Source organism: Homo sapiens, chromosome 5 (assembly GCF_000001405.40).
Source record: "Homo sapiens chromosome 5, GRCh38.p14 Primary Assembly".
NCBI lineage: Eukaryota > Metazoa > Chordata > Mammalia > Primates > Hominidae > Homo > Homo sapiens.
The window spans coordinates 71,197,234-71,220,491 of NC_000005.10; the positions used below are offsets into that span (position 1 = coordinate 71,197,234).

The following is a 23,258-nucleotide window of genomic DNA, read 5'->3' on the forward strand; positions in this document are numbered from 1 at the left end:
TTCGCAAATGAGTAACATAAAACAGACTGAAATACCTTAAGCTTCTCAGCCTTTTACCCTCCTCTGGAATAATGAGTGTATCCCAAAAGTAAATCCATAATGAGGTCCAGTTTTTCCTTCATCCTTGGCTATGAAATAGACAAGAAAAAGGCAAGCTAGCCATTTCCATCTCACTATAGCAGACTCTCATGTTTGCTTTTTGACCGTACGTGGGAAGCGGGGGCCTGACTGCTTTCCTACTTCCTAAGCACAACTTACTTTTCCTAGGAAATTATCAACACAACCTACATGGATTAAACCAGGTTCCCCCCTTTGTTTCCAATATTCTTACAGCCAAAATGTCCAGAATGGGCAAGGCAACCTGAAAAAATGAGGACGGGTACATTATCCCATGCGCTAAACTGCCACTTACACTGGTTAGTCATGAAATCGGCAAAATTCCAGATGAGCTCTCCAACCACGTATTTTCTGCGTTTTTGATCCAGACCCAGATGGTACTGCTCTAGCAGACTTTTCTGGTCCTCTTCACTGAACATCAGAGGTGGATCCTGGGATTCAAGGCAAAGAGAATTAAGAGTAAGAACTGGCAGAATTGTAAATGTTAGATAAAAATAAAGATCCACTTGATGGTGACCAAAATATCTGTCCTCACTGGGGGCTGTAGGGACTGCAGGACTCACTGATGCTAGGGTAAAGACAGCCAGGGAGAAATTGGAAATCATCATTCTCAGTAAACTATCGCAAGAACAAAAAAACAAACACCGCATATTCTCACTCATAGGTGGGAATTGAACGATGAGATCACATAGACACAGGAAGGGGAACATCACACTCTGGGGACTGTTGTGGGGTGGGGGGAGGGGGGAGGGATAGCATTGGGAGATATACCTAATGCTAGATGACGAGTTAGTGGGTGCAGCACACCAGCATGGCACATGTATACGTATGTAACTAACCTGCACAATGTGCACATGTACGCTAAAACTTAAAGTATAATAATAATAAAAAAAAATACAAAAAAAGAAACGACAGCCAGGGAATGATGTAACCCAGAATTAAAAAGGAGGTTTAAAAAAAAACCATCAATTAGCAACTGCTTTATTTATAAATATAACCTGATACTCAATTTTTCTTACTTTTCCGTCTCTGTCTGCTGATACAGTCTTAAGGCTGAACTACACTAGAAGGAAAAATATGTCTTTAGGTCAGGCGCGCTGGCTCATGTCTGTCATCCAAGCACTTTGGGAGACCGAGGTGGGAGGACTGCTTGAGCCTAGGAGTTCAAGACTAGCCTACAAAAAGTACAAAAGTTAGCCAAGCATGGAGGCACACACCTGTGGTCCCAGCTACTTGGGAGGCTGAGGTGGGAGGACTGCTTCAGTCCCGGAGGTCAAAGCTGTGGTTTGCACCACTACACTCCAGCCTGGGTGACAGAACAAGACCCTATCTCATGAATGAATGAATGAATGTAAAATGAAATTAAACTAAACCAGGCTGGGCATGGTAGCTCAGGTCTGTAATCCCAGCACTTTGGGAGGTCGAGGCAGGAGGATCACTTGAGCTCAGGAGTTCAAGATCAGCCTAGGCAACACAGTAAAACCCAGTCTCTATAAAAAGGCTAAATATTCGCTAGGTGTAGTGGCGCATGACTGTGGCTCCAGCTACTTGGGGGGCCGAGGAGGAAGGATCACTTGAGCCCAGGAGGTTGAGCAGTGAGCTGTGATTACGCCACTGCACTCCAGCCTGGGCAACAGAGTAAGGCTGTCTCAAAAAAAAATTTTTTTTAATTAAACCAGATAAATTCAGTTATCCTAGTCATATATCAAGACCTCAATAGCCACATGTAGCTAGTGGCTACCATTTCAGACAGTGCAGACATGGGGCATTTCCATCATTGCAAAGGTTCTTTTTTGAAACAAGGTCTCACTCTGTCACCCAGGTGGGAGTACAGTGGTGCAATTATGGCGGACTGCAGCCTTGACCTACTGGGCTCAAACAGTCCTCCTACCTCAGCCTCCCAAGTAGCTGGGACTAGAGGCAAGCACGACCATACCCAACTATTTTTTTTTTTTTTTTTTGAGACGGACTCTTGCTCTGTCGCCCAGGCTGGAGTGCAGTGGCACAATCTCGGCTCACTGCAACCTCCACCTCCCCAGTTCAAGCGATTCTCCTGCTTTAGCCTCCTGAGTAGCTGGGATTACAGGTGCATGCCACCACACCCAGCTAATTTCTGTGTTTTCTTAGTAGAGACGGGGTTTCACCATCTTGGTCAGGCTGGACTTGAACTCTTGGCCTCGTGATCCACCCACCTCAGCCTCCCAAAGTGCTGGGATTACAGGCGTCAGCCACTGCACCCAGCCACAACTCATCTTAAATATTTTGTAGAGATGGGGTCCATGTTGTGCAGACTGGTCTCAAACTCCTGGGCTCAAGAGATCCTCTGACCTCGGTCTCCCAAAGGGCTAGCATTCCAGGTGTGAGCCAGCACACCCAGCACTGCAGAGGTTCTATCAATGCTCACCTAGACCCTCTCGAGTTTCTTAAGAATTCAGAACTGGGGCTGGGTATGGTGGCTCATGCCTGTAATTCCAGCACTTTGGGAGGCCAAGGCAGGTGGATCGCTTGAGGTCAAAAGTTCAAGACCAGCCTGACCAACGTGGTGAAACCTCATCTCTACTAAAAAAAAAAAAAAAAAAAAAAATTAGGTGAGCATGGTGGTGCATGCCTGTAATCCAAGCTACTTGGGAGGCTGGTGCAGGAGAATTGCTTGAACCTGGGAGGCGGAGGTAGCAGTGAGTCAAGATTGCACCACTACACTCCAGCCTGGGCGACAAGTGAAACTCCTCCTAAAAGGAGAAAGAATTCAGAGCTGGTTACCTTTTCAAAGAGAATGAACAAGGGTGCATATCCACAAATCACTTCCCCCTACTTGACTAGTTTGCAGAAGTGTCATTCTGTAAGCACGATAAATTTAAGGGTGCAAACAGAACAGTGCAGTCCATTGTGGGTGGCTGTTCCCTGTGTGTCAACGGGAGTCCCAGGAGCTGTGCAAAAGAGTGTGAGCTGGCTGGGGAGGGGACAAGGGGCTGGATGGGGTTCAGGAATCCACATGAAAAAAACCCCACAAGACAAAGCAACATATCTTTGGTGAGAAGGACAAAAAATGAGATGGATAAACAAATGAGGACAGGCCAGGCATGGTGGCTCAGGCCTGTAATCCCAGGATTTTGGGACGCGGAAGCAGGCAAATCACTTGACGTCAGGAGCTCAAGACCAGCCTGGCCAACATGGCAAAACCCCACCTCTACAAAAATACAAAAATTAGCTGGGCATGGTGGCAGGTGCCTGTAATCCCAGCTGCTTGGGAGGTTGAGGCAGGACAATCGCTTGAGCCTAGGAAGTGGAGGTTGCAGTGAGCTGAGATCACACCATTGCACTTCAGCCTGGGTGACAGAGTGAGACTCCATCTCAAAAAAAAAAAAAGACAAAGTGAGTGATTAAACATGGCTCTAAGATCTCACCCATGCCCTCAATAGGTATTATTTAGCATGTACTGTGTCAGCTATTGCAGAGTACCTGGGAAACAATAATAAATAGGACTCCTGTCTCCTGAGCCCACAGTCCGATCAAAGAGAGAGCCAAAGAAATAACAACGGTGCCTGGCGAGAATGTTGGGGGAGCCAGGTTCCGGCTGCAACAGGGCAGAGCACGGGGAAGGTTCCCTCCGCCTGGGGCAGGCAGGGTAAACCTCCCCACAGAGGGGACAGCTATGAGGAGACTCAGATGCCAAATAGGAATCTTTTCAGCCACGTGTCGTGACTCATGCCTGTATTCCCAGTACTTTGGGAGTCCAAGACAGGAGGTGAAGACCAGCCTGATAGCGAGACTGCATCTCTACAAAATATTTTAAAACTAGGCTGCACATGGTGGTGCACGCCTGTAGTCCCAGCTACTCAGGAGGCTGAGGCAGGGGAATTGCTTCAGCCCAGGAGTTCGAGGCTGCAGTGAGCTATGATGACACCACCACACTCCAGCCTGGGCAACAGAACAAGACCCTGTCAGGAAAAAAATAAAAAATAAAAAAAGGCTAGCACAGTGGATCACACCTGTTAATCCCAGAACTTTGGGAGGCCAAGGCAAAAAGATCAATTGAGTCCAGGAGTTTGAGACCAGCCTGGGCAACATAGCAAGACCCTATCTCTAAAAAAATAAAAAGAAAAGGATCTTTTAGTTGGTGATTATGGTGCCAACTTGGGCATTCCAGGCAGAAAGAATAGCTCAAGCAAGAGCAGGAGAGCAAATGAGGGCAGTGGAAACAGATCAGTGGCCAGGAGTGAGAAGAGAAGAGGATGAAAACCCAGGAGAGAGCAGAGGACACTGAGTGTCCTGACTAGGGGTTAGGACTTTGTCCTATGGGCCTGGGGGAGCCAATGACAGGACTCAAAAATTTTGATTTGTGGCCGGGCACAGTGGCTCACACCTGTAAATCCCAGCGCTTTGTGAGCCTGAGGCAGGAGGGTCACTTGATCCCAGGAATTCAAGACCAGCCCGGGGAACACAACAAGGCCCCATCTCTACAAAAGTAAAAAAATTAGCCAGGCATGGTGGCCTGTGCCTATGGTCCCAGATACTCAGGAGGCTGAGGTGGGAAGATCGCTTGGGCCCAGGAGGTTAAGGCTGCAGTGAGCAGTGATCGCACCACCGCACTCCAGCTTGGGTGACACAGAGAGAGGCGGTCTCAAAAACACATAAAAATTTGGATTTCTTAGAAAGACCACTTGGGCACGGGTGATAGGAGGCTGTCTGGAAACAAGGCCAGTAAGGAGTCCACCTTTGAGGACCAAGCGAGTGGGGCAGAGGCCTGCCTGCTGGTGAGAAGGGAACGTGGACAGGGTAGCGGGAGGTGAGCCCAAAGCTGAAGCAAGGGGAGCACTGCAGTGGGCGCAGGGCAGGGTGGGGGAGGCAAGTGGCATCTCTGCCCAGAGAGAATACACAAGCAGAAAGTTCAACACCGCTTACCTGGTGAAGCCCTACAAGCGTTTCCACTCCATACGCGCTCTGAATAATGGGATTGTGATGTCTTACACCAATTCTCAAACTGGGCGGCCAGCTGCAGCCGAATCAACTCCAGGTGCCCGTAGTTGCGATACCAAGAGTAGTAGCTGTTCACACGGATCACATCCACATACAGAGCCTAGGACCAGAGCAGCAGAGCCCGTTCAGCAACCACAAGACCGCATGACTCAGTACTCACATGCTGTGGGGGCTCCTCTGACAGAGAAGGTAAGAAGGGGATGTAATCCCAGCACTCTGGGAGGCTGAGGCAGGAGGGTGGCTTGTGGCCAGGAGTTCGAGACCAGCCTGGGCAACACAGCAAGACCCCAGCTCTACAAAAAATAGTATCAAGAAAATCAGCACGGCACAGTGGCTCATGCCTGTAATCCCAGCACATTGGGAGGCCAAGGTGGGAGGATCACTTGAGCCCAGGAGTTTGAGACCAGCCTGGGCAACGTCGTAGGACTCCATTTCTACAAAACAAAACAAAAAGCCTAGAACGGGAAGAGCTGCCTCTCGGGGCTGAGAACATCCAACTGCACCAATTTAGATCCTGAAATTACCCTGCCCCACAAGCAAAAAACATGGTCACAAAGTGGCCCAAAGGAGGCAGGCCTGTGATTGCACATTGACGCTCACGACGTGTGCAGCTGGGAAGGGCTGTGAGAGGCAGAGCAGCTGCCAACACGCAGTCCTCAGCCAAAACCCAGGGCCCCCGCCACTGGAACTGACTCCTCTCCAGGCAGCACTCCCAGCACTGGGCATCCCCTCACCTTGCCCTGGAGAAGCCCTCCCACCCAAGGGGCCAATGCAGTCATTCTCGCAGATAATCTTTTTCCGCTTTGTTTGGAAGACAGAGTCTCGCTCTGTTGCCCAGGCTAGAATGGAGTGGCACAATAATGCAACCTCTGCCTCCCACGATCAAGCGCAGGCGTGGTGGCATGTGCCTGTTATCCCAGCTACTTGGGAGGCTGAGGCAGGAGAATTGCTTGAACCTGGGAGGCGGAGGTTGCACTGAGCTGAGACTGTGCCACTGCACTCCAGCCTGGGCAACAGAGCAAGACTCTATCTTAAAAAAATAATAAAAAATAAAAAAGAATGCTAGTATCAGCCAGGCACGGTGGCTCATGCCTGTAATCCCAGCACTTTAGGAGGCTAAGGCAGGAGGATCACTTGAGCTCAAGAGTTTGAGACTGGCCTGGGCAACATAGTGAGATCCCATCTCTACAAAAACATTTAAAATTAGCCGGGCACAGTGGTGTACCCCCGGAGTCCCAGCTACTTGGAAGGCTGAGGCAAGAGGGTTGCTTAGGCCCAGGAATTCAAGGCTGCAGTGAGCTGTGATCACACCACTGCACTCCAGCCAGAGCAACAGAGTAAGACCTTGCCTTCACACACACACACAAAAAAACAAAAAACTCAGGTTCCAACCCTGGAGTTACTAAATCAGGATCTCAGAACGCAGAGATCTGGCATTTCAATAAAACTTCCCCTGGAGATTCTGATCAGCCAGGTTTGGGCCAGATGAACTCTAAGCTCACTTAAACCTTTGACATTTTATGAGTCTATTAAATCGAGTACAAAAAATGCTGAGTCCAAACCGGGCAAACAAATCCCATCTCCCTATGCCCAGCCTCCTTGGATTCAGAAAGCCACACTGCCTGGAGAGTAAGCAGAGAGAGAATTGTCATTAACCCAAAGACCATCTTTGAAAACAGACTGGCCGCGGCTGAGTGCGGTGGCACACGCCTGTAACCCCAGCCCTTTGGAAGGCCGAGGCAGGAGGATCACTTGAGCCCAGGAGTTCGAGACCAGCCTGGGCAACATGGCAAGACCCTGTCTCTATCTTTCTAAGTAAAACAAAATAAAAAGCTCAGACTGGCAGCACATGGTTCTTTCCAGCTGTTCCCATGAGCAGGCTTCAGGACAAGCCCAGGCAAAGGCAGGGAGAAATGGGGTGGGGACCCCCAGGCTCACCCCCTTGTCTGCTGCGTAGGTGGAGTTGGTCCCAAAGGTCACAGGCTGGGAGGGGTCCAAGGCTTTGGTGTGAGCAATCACCATCCTGTCCACAAAAGAGAGAAGACACAGGTTCCGTCAGTCCGGGAAAGGCTCAGACACCCTCCCATCCTCTCTGTCCCATCTTCCCCTGCCAGAACACAACTGGTGGCCAGGCACGATGGCTCACGCCTGTAATCCCAGCACTTCAGGAGGCTGAGGCAGGCAGATCACTGAGGTCAGGGGTTCAAGAACAGCCTGGCCAACATGGCAAAACCCCATTTCTACTAAATATACAAAAATTAGCCAGGCTTAGTGGCACGCATCTGTAACTCCAGCTACTCGGGAGGCTGAGGCACAAGAATTGCTTGAACCCGGGAGGTGGAGGTTGCAGTGAGCCGAAATCACACTACTGCACTCCAGCCTGGGCCACAGAGCAAGACCCTGCCCCAAAACAAACAAACAAACAAACAAACAAACAAACAAACAAAAAGAAAGAAAGAAAAGAAAAAAAAAAAAAAAAAAACAAAGCACAGAGCCGCTGCTTTCTTCCCTAACTTGAGATGTATTTTACATAAGGGCACGTTCCTCTAGTCCTAGACCGAGCTCTCTAACAACACTCTTTCTCCCCCACCCCTGAATCCAACTCCCCCAGAGGCGTAGCCACCCTGCCGGGTACACAGAGCTGAGGTCACTGGACTGAACACTGCCAGAAATGAGGTTCACTTCCTGAAATAGCTCTTGAACACAGGAGTGAATGGGCTGTGGATTCAGGTGGAATATTTATTAATGCATCAAGCAAACAGGTAGTGCGAGGTGGGAGGTAGGCATGAGGCTGGGTGCTAGGTGCTCAGTAATGACTCAAATCTAAGTCCACAGGTCCTGGGCAGTGGGAGTGGAGATGCATGCACAGAAAAACGGTGCAAGTGCCAGGCGAGGTGGCTCAAGCCTAGAACCCCAGCACTTTGGGAGGCTTACTTGAGACCAGGCGCTTGAGACCAGCCTGGACAACATAGCAAGACCTTGTTTCTACAACAAATTTAAAAATTAGGGCCGGGCATGGTGGCTCAAGCCTGTGAGCACTTTGGGAGGCCAAGGCAGGTGGATCACGAGCTCAAGAGTTCGAGACCAGCCTGGCCAACATGGTGAAACCCCATCTCAACAAAAAATAAAGAAGAAAACTAGCTGGGCATGGTGGCGTGAGCCTGTAATCCCAGCTACTCGGGAGGGTGAGGCAGGAGAACTGTTTGTACCCAGGAGGTAGAGGATGCAGTGAGCCAAGATCGCAACACTGCTCTCCAGCCTGGGAGACAGAGCAAGACTCTGACTCGTGGGGAAAAAAAAATATTAAAATTTAGCCTGGCAAGGCAGCGCACGTCTGTGGTCCCAGCTATTTGGGAGGCTGAGTGGGGAGGATCGCTTAAGCCCAGGAGGTCGAGATGGCAACGAGCTATGATTGCACCACTGCACTCCAGCCTGGGCAACAGAGTGAGACCCTGACTCTGAAAAACAAACAATGAAAGAAATGTTGCGAATGGAAATGACAAGTGGTGGCAGGAATTGGGCACTCTATGAGACAACAGACACATCCCCGATTGGAGAGTCAGGGACAGGCTCTTAGAAGAAATGGCCTTTATGCTGAGTCAAGTTAACCAGGAGGGATGAAGGGAAGAGGCTCCCAACAGAGGGACCAGTCCGTGCTCAGAGCTCCCAGCATCTGCCCAAGGCCTCCACAGAACAGACTGTTGTGTTTTTGTTTTGTTTTGTTTTGTTGAGATACAGAGTCTCATTCTGTAGCCCAGGCTGGAATGCAGTGGCATTATCTCAGCTCATTGCAATCTCTGCCTCCTGGTTCACCTGAGGCGATTCTCCTGCCTCAGCCTACCTGGTAGCTGGGATTACAGACGTCCACCACCATGCCCAGCTAATTTTTGTATTTTTAGTAGAGACAGGATTCACTACCTGTTGACCAGGCTGGTCTCGAACTCCTGACCTCGGGTGATCCACCCACCTCAGCCTCCCAAACTGCTGGGATTACAGGCGTGACCCACCGCATCCGGCCTAGACCGTTGTTGAAGCTGGTTTTCTTCTTCTTTCCTCAGTTCTTTTCTTTTACATCTTCCCCCCATCATTGCTCTGCCCATCCGAAGGCTGTGGCTGGCACAGGACAGAATAGAACCTCCTAGCCTCAAGTTCCAAACCCACACTCTCCAATAGCCAGGCTCTCAGATGGGAAGCTTCAAAGCCTTGTGACAGCCTGGCTGAACCTCTCCAGCCTGGGCCCTCCCTCCATTTCCTGCCCCGGAAACAGGCATCTCCTCTGGCCACCTCCCAAAGCCTGTCTGGAAGCCTCAGGCACCCGCTCCTGGAAGCCTGTACGATTCACAACAAACGGCCTGTCCACCCAGTCGTGCTGAGCACACCCCTATTCCCCCGAGCTCTGAATTGTCCTTTGCCCAGGCTAGGACAACATCTCAGAGCCTTCTGCCTGCTGCAGACTCGGCTCAGCCCAAATCACTCCATGAAATTGGGGTGTGGCATCTGCCTCAAGGAGCATTTCTACAACCTCTGCTGCCTCTACCGCAAATGAAACTGGCTCTCACCCACTGGCTCTCGGTGACGGGCACAGTGCGGAGCCCCACAGGGAGTGTGTAGAAGTCAAAGGCCCCAGTGACTTCTGTGCAGTCAGCCGCACCTACGACAGCCAAAGCGCCAGGTGTGAGCGCCCCGACAGCCTGAGCCCCATCTGGCCTGCCCTACAGCAGGAAGACCCCTCGTGCATGCACCCCAGAAGTCGCCACTGGGCCTGCAGAGAAGCAGCAACCAGAGGCTCTGCCCTTCACTGGCTGACCCTGGGACCTGCCCTTCAAAATCAGGCCTTCTCCTTGACCAGACGAGGTGGCTCATGCCTGGAATCCCTACACTTTGGGAGGCTAAGGCAGGAGGATCACCTGAGTCCAGGAGTTCAAGACCAGCCTGGGCAACCTAGTAAGACCCCAACTCTATAAAAAGGAGTTTTTTTTTTTTGAGACAGTCTCACTCTGTCACCCAGGATAGAGTGCTGCGGCATGATCTCAATTCACCGCAGCCCCTGCCTCCTGGGTTCAAGCAATTCCCCTGCCTCAGCCTCCCGAGTAGCTGGGATTACAGACGTGCACCATCATGCCCTGCAAATTTTCATATTTTAGTAGAGACGGGGTTTCACCATGTTGGCCAGGCTGGTCTCCAACTCCTGGCCTAAAGTGATCCGCCCGCGTCAGCCTCCCGAAGTGCTGGGATTACAGGTGTGAGCCACCATGCCCGGCCTACAAAAAAAATTTTTTTAATTAGCCAGGCATGGTGGCATGTGCCTGTAGTCCCAGCTACTCAGGAGGCCAAGGTAGGAGGATTGCAGCTCAAAGCTGCAGTGAGCTGTGATCAGGCCATTGCATTCCAGCCTGGGTGACAGAGTGAGACCATCACAAAAACAAACAAACAAATAAATAAATAAATAAATAAATAAATAAATAAAAAATCTGGGCCTCCCACCAAGGGTGGGAAACATCAGAAAGCTCAGAGGACCACACCTGCCCGTTCACCTGTCCTGGGCTCCTGCTGAAGCCAGGGCTACCAGATGGGGGCAAAAGACCTCCCTTACGCAAGTCCCAAACCACCATTACCTCCCACGAGTACAGGTAGGCGGGGTGTTCGTGCATCAGGTACGGCCACCAGAGGTTGGCACCCAGCACCTTCAGCTGGCCCTGGGTCCCAGCCTGGTTGTCCACGACTTTGTTTTCTGCATTCAAAAGACACACTTCCAACTTGAACTGGTTACTGCACTTGACGGAGATCTGGTAATTCACCAGCCCTGCAGGAGGCAAGAGAGACCAGGGCTTAGGGAGGGACATGACCTGGGTCACACAAACGGGAAGGCCCCACAATGACCACTCCCAGGCACTCTCATTTGCTTCTGTTGCTTTTTTTTTTTTTTTTTTTGAGATAGAATCTCGCTCTGTCACCCAGGCTGGAGTGCAGTGGCATGATCTGGACTCACTGAAACCTCTGCCTCCCAGGTTCAAGTGATTCTCCTGCCTCAGCCTCTGGAATAGCTGGGATTACAGGCACCTGCCACCACATCCAGCTAATTTTTGTATTGTTAGTAGAGACGGGGTTTCACCACATTAGCCAGGATGGTCTTGATCTCCTGACCTCGTGATCCGCCTGCCTCGGCCTCCCAAAGTGCTGGGATTACAGGCTTGAGCCACCGTGCCCGGCCCTGAACCAATGCGCCCAGCCCGCTTTTAATTTAATTTTTTAATTTTTTTTTTTTTTTTTTTTTTTTTTTTGAGATGGAGTCTCACTGTCACCCAGGCTGGAGTGTAGTGCTGCGATCCTGACTCGCTGCAACCTCCACCTCTGGAGTTCAGGTGATTCTCCTGCCTCAGCCTTCCGAGTACCTGGGAATACAGGAATGCACCACCATGCCCGGCGAATTTTTCTATTTTCAGTAGAGACGGAGTTTTGCCATGTTGGCCAGGCTGGTCTCGAACTCCTGAACTCAGGTGATCCACCCGCCTCAGTCTCCCAATAGATTACATATATTATTAATGAATTGCTTCCTTTAACACCCTATTCATTGAATTTTCCAGTAAACCACAATTACTAATTACTCCTGAAATCAGAAAAGAGGTTAAAAAGATTTTATAACAGTATCCTATGAAATCTACTACTTTCAAGTAATAGTAGTTGAATTACCAAAACCCGTCACTCAAGCCAATGACTACAATTAAGATATGAGTAACATTTCCTAGATAAATAAAGTCAATTAATTATATTTGCATCTGGGAAATAGAGAAAGTACATATAAGCCATGATTTTGAAGTCAAAAGAGAGAGAATATTTGCCAAGGAGGGGTGAGTTATAGTATGTAATTATAACATACAGAAGCTTTTTGTATGCTGGTAACTAATTTTAATTTCCTACATTTTTATGTAGATTTCTGCTATTCTTGTCCTATTTTCCTAATCATCTTTCTATATGAATGACTACATAATTCTGAGAATACCAAAAGAGACAGACACAGAACCAATCGGATTCCTTTCTTCTTGAAGCTTCTGCACAGCAAAAGAAACTATCAACAGAGTGAACAGACAACCTACAGAATGGGAGAAAATTTTTGCAACAATGCATGTGACAAAGATCTAATGTCCAACACTGATAAGGAACTTAAACAAATTTACAAGAAAAAAAAAAATCTCATTAGAAAGTGGGCACAGGACATAAACAGACACTTCAAAAGAAGACACACATGCGGCCAACAAGCATATGAGAAAAAGCTCAATATCACTGATCATTAGAGAAATGCAAATCAAAACCACAATGGCATACCATCTCACACCAGTCAGTATGGTTATTATTAAGAAGTCAACGCCGGGCATGGTGGCTCACGCCTATAATCCCAGCACTTCAGGAGGCCAAGGCAGGCAGATCGCATGAGGTCAGGAGTTCCAGACCAGCCTGGACAACCTGGCGAAACCCCGTCTCTACTAAAAATACAAAAATTAGCCCAGCGTGGTGGCGGGTGCCTGTAATCCCAGCTACTCAGGATGCTGAGGCAGGAGAATCGCCTGAACCCGGGAGGCAGAGGTTGTAGTGAGCCGAGATCATACCACTGCACTCTCCAGCTTAGGTGACAGAGCGAGACTCTGTCTCAAAAAAAAAAAAAAAATATTTGAATTTTGTTTAAATCGCTAACACATACTGGGCATTTAATAACAAAAAAAAAGGACATGAGATTGTGATCCTTATGAAGGTTTGAGAGGCATTTCACTAGGGTTCAACATACAGCAGTCTGAAACATACTGTAATAATTTAATCCAATGGCTCATCTACAGCACCTAAAAAGATTACAGCAGATTCTCATTATTCAGTGTAGTTACGGTCTAGAAAGTTCCATGAACAAATAAAAAGTTAGGTTTCAGCAAGCTACTGGTCACACTTTTGTAAGCTTACCAACACCTACTTTTGTTGTATGTGTGCTTATTTAATATATATTGTTGGCCAGGCACAGTGGCTAACGCCTGTAATCCCAGCACTTTGGGAAGCCAAGGCGGGCAGATCATTTGAGGTCTGGAGTTCGAGACCAGCCTGGCCAACGTGGTGAAACCCCGTCTCTACTAAAACTACAAAAAAAAAAAAAAAAAATTAGCCAGGCATGGTGGCGCATGCCTGTAGTCTTAGCTACTTGGGAGGCGAAGGCAGGGGAATCGCTTGAACCCAGGAGGCAGAGGTTGCAGTGAGCCAAGACTGCACCACTGCACTCCAGCCTGAGCAACAGAGTGAGACTCTATCTCAAAAAAAAAAATAATAATAATTAATTAAATGAAGAATAAATAAATAATATACATTGTTCATTCATTAACATTGAACTCACAGCCAACGGCACTACAGCACTCACGCCTGAATGGAGTTTATTTAATGCATGTATTTTCTCTGTAAGACACATCACAGACTTCTTGGACTTGTGAATGCTAAGCAGCACTTCAGCACTATGCTTGGGGGTTAATTTAAATGGCAAAACAACCAACAAACAGTACAAAAACAGGAAAAGCATGGCATTAAATAGACCACAAAAAGGATACCTGACTATTGTATGAGAGCTGAAAAAGAAGGCAGAATATCATCCTGTTCAAACTCAAATTCTTTGACACTCTGCGCAAACACATGACTATGAAAGTGCTGTGAGTACTGATTTGGGGGTTACAAAAAATAGTAGGTGAGTTCACAAATACAAAAGCTGAAAACAAGGAGGATCGACTGTATTTTCGTAGACAATCTAATCTCAGAAGATTTCAGTTCAGACAAAAATCATGATAATTACTGTATTACAAAAGGGCACTAGATAGGGGGGAAAGAGTAAAAATCACAATTAAAACAAAGGTTCAAAATTCTGCAGCAACCATATCCAGTTACACTTTAATATGTTTGCGGCAGACTACATTATTGTTCCCAACTCATCACCCCTCCCTATATCTAAAACCTTTCCCCAAGACAATGCAGTTCCTCCTGCTAGAGATCAGGTATATTTATCTATACTATCAATGTTAGCCATGGACAAGGTATGTGCTTTGGCTGACTGAATGTTAGTGGACATGAGAGAAGCAATGGCTTAAAATGTACTTCCAGAACTGGAGTTTCCTTGTGATTCTATCACTGTGACAGAAACACATTCTCAGGTAGTCCACTGATCCAAGGGGGAACAAACACACAGAAAACATACCTAGACTCTATCTGCAGCTTGCAGCCTCACCAAGCCAACAACAGTCAACTCACAGATATGTTAGCAAAAATAAATGTTTTTCGTACCTTAAGTTTTATATAATTATTGACCTGCAGTTAACTGATATACAATATACATTAATCTTAAAATATCAGTATCCCATTAAAAATATTTACATTAAAAACTGAGACCACTTTCTTTCCTCCTTTTTTTTTTTTTTTTTTTAAATTAAGAGACAGGGTGTCTCAATGTTGCCCAAGCTGGAGTTCGGTGGCTAGTGGCTATTCACAAGAACGATCATCGCACACTACCTCAAACTCCTGGGATCAAGCAATCCTCCTGCCTCAGCTTTCCAAGTCGCTGGGACTATAAGTGTGTACCACAGCATGTCAGCTCTCTCTCTCCTTCTTGACCTAAAGCCTAGCATAAAATTAGCTAAGTAGAATGTTTCCAAAGATGGCTGCATCAGTATCTCCCATCCCACATAATTTCTGTTTGATTTTGCCATTCACCCATAAAATGGTGGGATCTACCTCCCCTCCTTGCAAATTTGAGCTGGCCCTCTGATCCTGTCTAAGATCTGAAGCCAGATATTAAGGTACTTCATTAATTTCCATGTTTGTCCTCTATGCAACCTAGCAATCAAGCAAGAAGTCAAAACATACTGACATAGTTTGGATGGGTCCCCACCCAAATCTCACCTTGCATTGTAATAATTCCCACGTGTCAAGGGTGGGGCCGGGTGCAGATAACTGAATCATGGGGATGGTTCCCCCCATACTGTTCTCGCGGTAGTGACTAAGTCTCATGAGATCTGATGGTTTTATAAATGGGAGCTCCCCTGCACATGCTCTCTCCTGCCTGCCACTATGTGAGACATGCTTTTGCACCTCCTTGCCTTCCACCATGACTGTGAGGCCTCCCCAGCCATGCAGAACTGTGAGTCAATTCAACCTCTTTCCTTTATAAATTACCCAGTCTCAGGTATGTCTTTATTTGCAGTGTGAGAACAGACTAATACAATAAGTTGATACCAGTAGAGTGGGGTGCTGCTGTAAAGATACCCGAAAATGTGGAAGCAACTTTGGAAATGGGTAACAGGGAGAGGCTGGAACAGTTTGGAAGGCTCAGAAGAGGATAGGAAAATGTGGGAAAGTTTGGAACTTCCTAGAGACTTGTTGAATGGCTTTGACCAAAATGTTAATAGTGATATGGACAACAAGGTCCAGGCGGAGGTGGTCTCAGAGGCAGATGAGGAATTTGTTGGGAAATGGAGTAAAGTCACTCTTACTATGCAAAGACACTGCAGGCATTGTGCACCTGTATTAGAAACGGGCATAAGATAGGCGGGAAAGAGGGAAAATAAGAATTTTTTTCTAGAGTTCCCTACAGATCTGTGGAACTTTGAACTTGAGAGAGATGATTTAAGGTATCTGACACAAGAAATTTCTAAGCAGCAAAGCATTCGAGAAGAAGCAGAGCATAAAAGTTCAGAAAATTTGTAGCCTGATGATGCAACAGAAAAGAAAAATCTATTTTCTCAGGAGACTGGGTTGTAGAAATTTGCATAAGTAATGAGGAGCCAAATGTTAATCACCAAGACAATGGGGCAAATGTCTCCAGGGCATGTTAGAGACCCTCACAGCAGACCCTCCCATCACAGGCCAGGAGGCTTAGAAGGAAAAATGGTTTTGTGGGTCCAGAACCCCCTGCTGTGTGCAGCCTAGGAACTTGGGGCCCTGCATCCCAGCTGCTCCTGCCATAGGTAAAAGGGGCCAAGGTACACCTCAGGCCATGGCTTCAGAGGGTGCAAGTTCCAAGCCTTTCAGGTTCTAGGTGGTGTTAAGCCTGCAGATGCACCGAAGTCAAGAATTAACGTTCATGAACCTCCGCCTACATTTCAGAAGATGTATGAAAATGCCTGGAAATCCAGGCAAAAGTTTGCTGTGGGGGGGAGGGGAGGGGAGGGGGGGCCCTCATGGATAACCTCTGCTAGGGCAGTGTCAAAGGGAAATATGGGGTTGGAGCTTCCACACAGAGTCCCCACTGGGGTACTGCCAAGCAGAGCTGTGAGAAAAGGGCCACCATCCTCCAGACCCCAGAATGGTAGATCCACTGACAGCTTGCACTGTGTGCCTGGAAAAGCTGCAGACACTCAATGCAGCCAGAAGGGGGGCTGTACCCTGCAAAGCCACAGGGGCGGGGCTGCCCAAGACCCTGGGAACCCACTTCTTGCATCACCTAGATGTGACACATGGAGTCAAAGGAGGTCATTTTGGAGCTTTAAGATTTGCCTGCTGGGTTTTGGACTTGCATGGGGCCTGTAGCTCTTTCGCTTTGGCCAATTTCTCCCATTTGAAACGAGTGTATTTACCCAATGCCTGTATCCCTGTGTATCTAGAAAATAACTAACTTGCTTTTGATTTTACAGGCTCATAGGTGGAAGGGACTTGCCTTGTCTCAGATGAGACTTTGGACTATGGAATTTTGAGTTAATGCTGAAATAAGAGTTTGGGGGACTTAGGGGAAGGCATGATTGCTTTTGAAATATGAGGACATGAGATTTGGGAGGGGCCGGGGAAGAATTATATGGTTTGGCTCTGTCCGCACCCAAATCTCATCTTGAATTGTAACAATTCCCATGTGTCAAGGGTGGGGCCAGGTGGAGATAACTGAATCATGGAGGCAGTTTCCCCCATGCTGTTCTCATGGTAGTGAATAAGTCTCATGAGGTCTGATGGTTTTATAAATGGATGTTCCCCTGCACATGCTCTCTCCTGCCCACCATGTCTGACTAAATTTTGTATTTTTACTAGAGACGGGCTTTCACTATGTTGGCCAGGCTGGCCTCCAACTCCTGATCTCGTGATCCGTCCACCCCGACCTCCCAAAGTGCTAGGATCATAGGCATAAGCCACCACACCCGGCCTCTTTTTTTTCTTTTTCTTTTTTTTATCTGGAGACTGAGTTTTGCACTCGTTGCCCAGGCTGGAGTGCAATGGTGCGATCTCAGCTCACTGCAGTCTCCACCTCAGCAGGAGAGCAGGAATCTTCAGTGATCCACGGGCAAATATGCAGCCATTGTGGGCACCTGTTCCTCCCGCGACCTTTGTGCCCACGTCTCTCCCTCCAGTACCTACTGCACGACCCCCCACGTCCGCCTCCTGCCATTGCCAGCAGGTGCCTTGCGCGGGTACCTGGCTGCGCTTATTCATCCATTATGGTCGCTCTGTCACTGGTGCCATTATGTGCTCACATGCCCACTCCCTCAGGTTTAGAAGTCGCGTTGCCCGGCAACAGAACAATCTGCTGGCTTAGCCTTTGGCCAAGTTGGCAGCTGGACGAGGACGCTCAGAGCCCAGCTCTTGAGAGTTCAAGTATCCGACAGTTCCCCACTGCTCCCAGGAGCGGTTACCCGGGCACTCTGTGCCCCTCATTCCTGTTTGGGCCAAGGCCGAGGACCTGCGAGTAGGGCTCAGTTGCCTGGAGCCCCTTCAGCCCATCCCCCAGTTCACTTTGCTTGTGGGATCTCCCCGTTGCTCCTGCCCCTGGACTGAGTGGCAGGCCATCCTACAAACACCCGGACACTCGACATCACTGGTGTCAAGACAACTCTAAGAAGGTTTCAAGTGATCCTGCAAGACCTGTGTTCCATCCTGGTGATTCTGTCTTCAATTTCACTGCACAGGTACCACAGTAAGCCAGTGCTGTGTGCTCCGAGTTCCAGGGCATCCCCCAGCTCAGCCACTACACTGAGCACAAGGACTCTGTGGGGCCCAGGAGCAGGTAGTCACCCCTTTGGGGTCCACAACACCCGGCTGTCCCCAGACTTGTGTCCAGGGAAGATAGTGTTGAGGGCCCTCAAGGAGAGCGGGGCAGGGATGCCTGAGCAGGACAAGGACCCCAGAGTCCAAGAAAATCCTGATGATCAGAGAACGGTCCCCGAGGTCACCGGGGATGCACGGTCTGCATTTTGGCCCCTGCGGGACAATGGAGGCCCCTCTCCCTTTGTGCCCAGGCCCGGGCCTCTGCAGACAGACCTCCATGCCCAGAGCTCAGAAATCAGATATAACCACACATCCCAGACATCCTGGACGAGCTCGAGCACCAAACGAAATGCCATCTCCAGCTCCTACAGCTCCACGGGAGGCTTGCCGGGGCTAAAGCAGAGGAGGGGGCCAGCCTCATCCCGCTGCCAGCTGACCCTCAGTTACTCAAAGACAGTGAGTGAGGACAGGCCTCAGGCTGTCTCTTCGGGTCACACACGGTGTGAAAAGGGGGCAGATACAGCACCAGGGCAGACAATCGCCCCAACGGGTGGCTCCCCCAGATCCCAGGACTCTAGGCCCCGTAGACGCAAGATTCCCCTGCTGCCACGCAGGCGAGGGGAGCCTTTGATGCTGCCACCTCCCTTAGAGCTGGGGTACCGGGTCACGGCTGAAGACCTGCACCTGGAAAAAGAGACGGCATTCCAGCGCATCAACAGTGCACTGCACGTTGAGGACAAGGCCATCCCGGACTGCAGACCCTCACGGCCTTCCCACACTTTGTCCTCACTTGCAACAGGGGCTTCGGGTGGGCCTCCCGTTTCTAAAGCACCCACTATGGATGCACAGCAGGACAGACCCAAGTCCCAAGACTGCCTGGGCCTACTGGCCCCCCTAGCATCTGCTGCAGAGGTCTCCTCTACAGCTCCCGTGTCTGGGAAGAAGCACAGACCACCAGGACCCCTGTTCTCCTCCTCAGATCCCCTTCCTGCCACCTCTTCCCACTCCGGGGACTCAGCCCAGGACACCTCGCTGATTCCTGCCCCCTTCACACCTGCAAGCAGGGATGCCGGCATCAGAAGAATGTTTCGTGTTCGAAATTGTTTGAGGGGTTTGGGTTTATTTTTGTTGGTTTTTTCTTTTTTTTTTTTGCTTACGTGGGCATCCTTCAGCTTTTAATAATCTGAAAAATTCTATTTACCCATTGTCAATGTGTATAAATTAATCTCAGTCAATTTTATACAATAAAAGGTGAACTTTTATCCATCAAACAATAATTTAACAAAAAATGTACCGGAAGAAGAATGTTCATTACAAATATAGGAAACATAAATATTACCAAATATTGGCAAGCACTAAAATGTTCAGAAATATAAGTCTATTACAGTTATAGCTCTCTCAAGCAAAAAAACAGCAGAGAAAAACTTAGTTTTCCTGAGGGGCTATTTATTTACTTAGGGATTTGTTAAAAGGTCAAATGGGGTCACACAGAATACTAAGAAGAGCTGTTCACCCAGGCCTCACTAAGAACTCTTCTTCATGCAGTAGCTATATAGTAATATGACAACTGCTCCTACGACCCAAAGAGGAACTACAGCAACTACTCTTTAGCATCTGTTGCTCCCAACTCTGCTTTGCAATTATATGACTCAAGCATTCTGGCTCCGTTAACTATTACTGCTGTTACTCCCAAGTAAATTCCCTCTAAAAAATAAAAATTTTTAAAGCTGTAATTTAAGCTCTCTGCTGCCTCATGACTTCAATTCCATCAGAGTTACGCATTGTTTCCTCTGTACATCTTTGCTCTGCTTCCATTGCTAATTCCCTAGTAAAGTGTTGTATATTCAAAGTTCCAAAGAAACAGAATATCCAAGACATCACCAATCATCCAAAACACAGTGTAGGAGGCCACAGTTAAGAGAAGCAAGACCATTAGCTCTTTTTATAGGCTCGAGAACAACAGGATGCTTTGGTCCTGTATCAGCAGGACGCTTTTTGGGTAGATCCTACTGCCACCCTACTATCGGGTAGATCCTACTGTCACCCTAGCTATGGGCACATGTCAGAGTCCCATGTAATAAAGGAGACAAAAGGAAACCACCACGAGTATAAACTAAGAAAAGTACTCCAAGGTTTCTAAGAATGGAGCTGTATAACTCACTTTGCCCCGTTTGTTACTTCTCCACGGTACTTACCACCACCTATTACATATATTTTGTTTATAGTCAGTCTTCCCCCATTAGAATGAAAGTTCCGTGAGGATAGGACTATACAGTCAGCCCTCAGTATCCATGGGGGACTGGTTTCAGGATCTCCTGAGGGTAACAAAGGATACTCAAGTCCCTGATATAAAATGACATAGTATTTGCACATCACCTTTGCACATCCTCCCATATACTTCATATCAACTCTAGATCACTCATAATATCCGATGTAAATGTCATGCAAATAGTTATTGTACTATATTGTGTAAGGAATAAGGACAAGAAAAAAGTCTGTACATGTTCAGTACAGACGCAATTTTTTTTTCCAATATTTCCAATCCTTGGTTGCCTTAACGGATGTAGAACCCAGGAATAAGTTCTGGTGTCCTATTGCATAGTAGGATGAGTATAGTTAACAATAACATATTATATATTTGAAAATAGCCAGAAGAGTAGATTTTGAATTTTCTCCCTACAGAAAAATCATTATGCAAATTACCCTGATTTGATCATTACACATTGAGTACATGTATTAAAACATCACATTCTACCCCATATATATGTACAGTTATTATGTGTCCATAAAAATTTAATGTCAATGTGTGAAATAAAATGAAAAAATAAAAATTTTTAAAGCTGTAATTATCTCCATCTGGTAGGAATATATACAATCTGAAATAAAAAATATATTTGTAATTGTTAGGACAAAATAGATTATACATTAAGTCTGCAAATTATAAATTATAAAATTCTCACAGAACCTGAAAAATTATTGATACTGTTAAATATTTAAAAAGCTGTCCTTGGAGAGAAAGAAACCTATCAGATTTACATCAACAAGTGTAATATGTCAGCCTATTACCATCTGCTACAGACTGCATGTTTGTGTTCCCTCAAAATTCATATGATAGGCCCGGCGCGGTGGCTCATGCCTGTAATCCCAGCACTTTGGGAGGCCGAGGCGGGTGGATCATGAGGTCAGGAGATCGAGATCATCCTGGCTAACATGGTAAAACCCCGTCTCTACTGAAAATACAAAAAATTAGCCGGGCGCAGTGGCGGGCGCCTTAGTCCCAGCTACTGAGGAGGCTGACGCAGGAGAATGGCGTGAACCCAGGAGGCGGAGCTTGTAGAGAGCCGAGATTGTGCCACTGCACTCCAGCCTGGGTGACAGACAGAGCGAGACTCTGTCTCAAAAAAAAAAAAAAAAAAAAAAAAATTCATATGATAAAGCCCTAACCCCCAAGGTGAGGATACTGGGAGGCGTGGCCTTTAGGAGAGAATTAGGTTTAGATGAGGTCATGAGAATAGAGCCCCTATGGTGGCATTACTTCCTTTATAAGAAGAGACACTAGAGCTGCTTTTCTCCCTACCATGTGAGGATACCGAGAGAAGATGGCCATTTCCAATCTAGGAAGCAGGCCCTCTTTAAGAAACGTAATTTGCCAACACTTTGATCTTGCACTTCCAGTCTGCAGAACTGTGAGAAATATCTGTTTTTTTTTGTTTGTTTGTTTTTGTTTTTTTTGAGACAGAGTCTCATTCTGTCATCCAGGCTGGAGTACAGTGGTGCGATCATGGCTCACTGCAACCTCCGCCTCCCAGGTTCAAGCAATTCTCCCACCTCAGCCTCCCAAGTAGCTCAGACTACAGGCGTGCACCACCACGCCCAGCTAATTTTCGTAGAGACAAGGTTTTGCCATGCTGCCCAGGCTAGTCTCAAACTCCTGAGCTCAAGTTATCCACCTGCCTCGGCCTCCCAAAGTGTTAGGAATACAGGCATAAGCCACCACGCCTGGTCAAAATATCTACTGTTTAAGCTACCTAATTTATGGTATTCTGTTTTAGCAGCTGAAGCAGACTAAGATACCATCCTATAAGCTACAGACCAGCACTATCCAATAGAACTTTATATGACGAGCAAATGTTTTATATCTGTGCTATCCCTTATGTTAGCCACTAGCCACATGTATCCATCAAGTATTTGAAATATGGCTAGTGCAACTAAAGAACTTAATTTTTAATTTTCTTTTTTTTCTTGAGATGGAGTCTCGCTCTGTCCCCCAGGCTGGAGTGCAGTGGCGCCATCTCGGCTCACTGCAAACTCTGCCTCCCAGGTTCACGCCATTCTCCTGCCTCAGCCTCCTGAGTAGCTGGGACTGCAGGCGCCCGCCACCACGCCCGGCTAATTTTTTGTATTTTTAATAGAGATGGGGGTTCACCGTCTTAGTAAGGATGGTCTCGATCTCCTGACCTAATGATCTGCCCGCCTCGGCCTCCCAAAGTGCTGGGATTACCGGCGTGAGCCACCACGCCCGGCCAATTTTTATTTTATCTTATTTAAATAACCACATGTGGCTAGTGGCTAATGTATTGAACACTACAGCTGTAGACAATACGAAATAAATATAAAGCAGTCTCCACTTTGGAAAAACAGAAGACTCTTACTGCCTCATAATATAGATGAAAAATGAAATACTAAGATAAGTAAAACGTTCTTTAAAGAACAAAAACAAAAGAAAACCTAATGAAAGCTATAAAAGTCCATTGGATAATAATGCTACCAGTACTAAGGAAGTACAGCCCCTAAGAGTGACTTGCAGTCACAAATATAAAAATGACTATTCAACTGAACTCCTAAGGTGAAAATTTCTTATTCACCATGCTCCAAAATGGTCTGTAATATTCTTCAGAGATGGCATGGTGGGGGAGGCAAGTGGCATCTCTGCCCAGAGAGAATACACAAGCAGAAAGTTCAACACCGCTTACCTGGTGAAGCCCTACAAGCGTTTCCACTCCATACGCGCTCTGAATAATGGGATTGTGATGTCTTACACCAATTCTCAAACTGGGCGGCCAGCTGCAGCCGAATCAACTCCAGGTGCCCGTAGTTGCGATACCAAGAGTAGTAGCTGTTCACACGGATCACATCCACATACAGAGCCTAGGACCAGAGCAGCAGAGCCCGTTCAGCAACCA

At 47.5% G+C, this 23,258-nt stretch overlaps 1 protein-coding gene and 3 pseudogenes across 2 annotated transcripts in view, besides 2 other annotated features; 1 reads left to right on the top strand and 3 right to left on the bottom strand.

Moving 5' to 3' along the window:
• On the bottom strand, nt 413–10,897 carry GUSBP9 (GUSB pseudogene 9; annotated as a pseudogene).
• Nucleotides 6,729–7,230: an enhancer, noted in NCBI's record as "H3K27ac hESC enhancer chr5:70499789-70500290 (GRCh37/hg19 assembly coordinates)". NCBI's record gives its function as "activates a minimal SCP1, AML or CMV promoter by ChIP-STARR-seq in primed H9 embryonic stem cells {active_cell/tissue: H9 hESC(primed)}" and the evidence as "EXISTENCE:reporter gene assay evidence [ECO:0000049][PMID:30033119]".
• Nucleotides 9,052–9,552: an enhancer, noted in NCBI's record as "H3K27ac hESC enhancer chr5:70502112-70502612 (GRCh37/hg19 assembly coordinates)". NCBI's record gives its function as "activates a minimal SCP1, AML or CMV promoter by ChIP-STARR-seq in naive H9 embryonic stem cells {active_cell/tissue: H9 hESC(naive)}" and the evidence as "EXISTENCE:reporter gene assay evidence [ECO:0000049][PMID:30033119]".
• LOC124900994 (uncharacterized) lies at nt 13,446–20,951 on the bottom strand. Its single transcript, XM_047417973.1, has one exon. The coding sequence runs from the start codon at nt 19,149–19,151 to the stop codon at nt 18,567–18,569; it is 585 nt and encodes a 194-aa protein (XP_047273929.1). The 5' UTR covers nt 19,152–20,951; the 3' UTR covers nt 13,446–18,566.
• On the top strand, nt 18,130–18,819 carry LOC728452 (POM121 membrane glycoprotein (rat) pseudogene; annotated as a pseudogene).
• A 2,041-nt stretch (nt 20,952–22,992) lies between the features above and the next one.
• The window catches only part of GUSBP17 (GUSB pseudogene 17), a 39,070-nt pseudogene continuing 38,804 nt past the window's right edge, over nt 22,993–23,258 (bottom strand). The window contains exon 4 of the transcript NR_033968.1: nt 22,993–23,223. The product of NR_033968.1 is annotated as a GUSB pseudogene 17 (transcript). The remainder of the gene's footprint in view (nt 23,224–23,258) is intronic.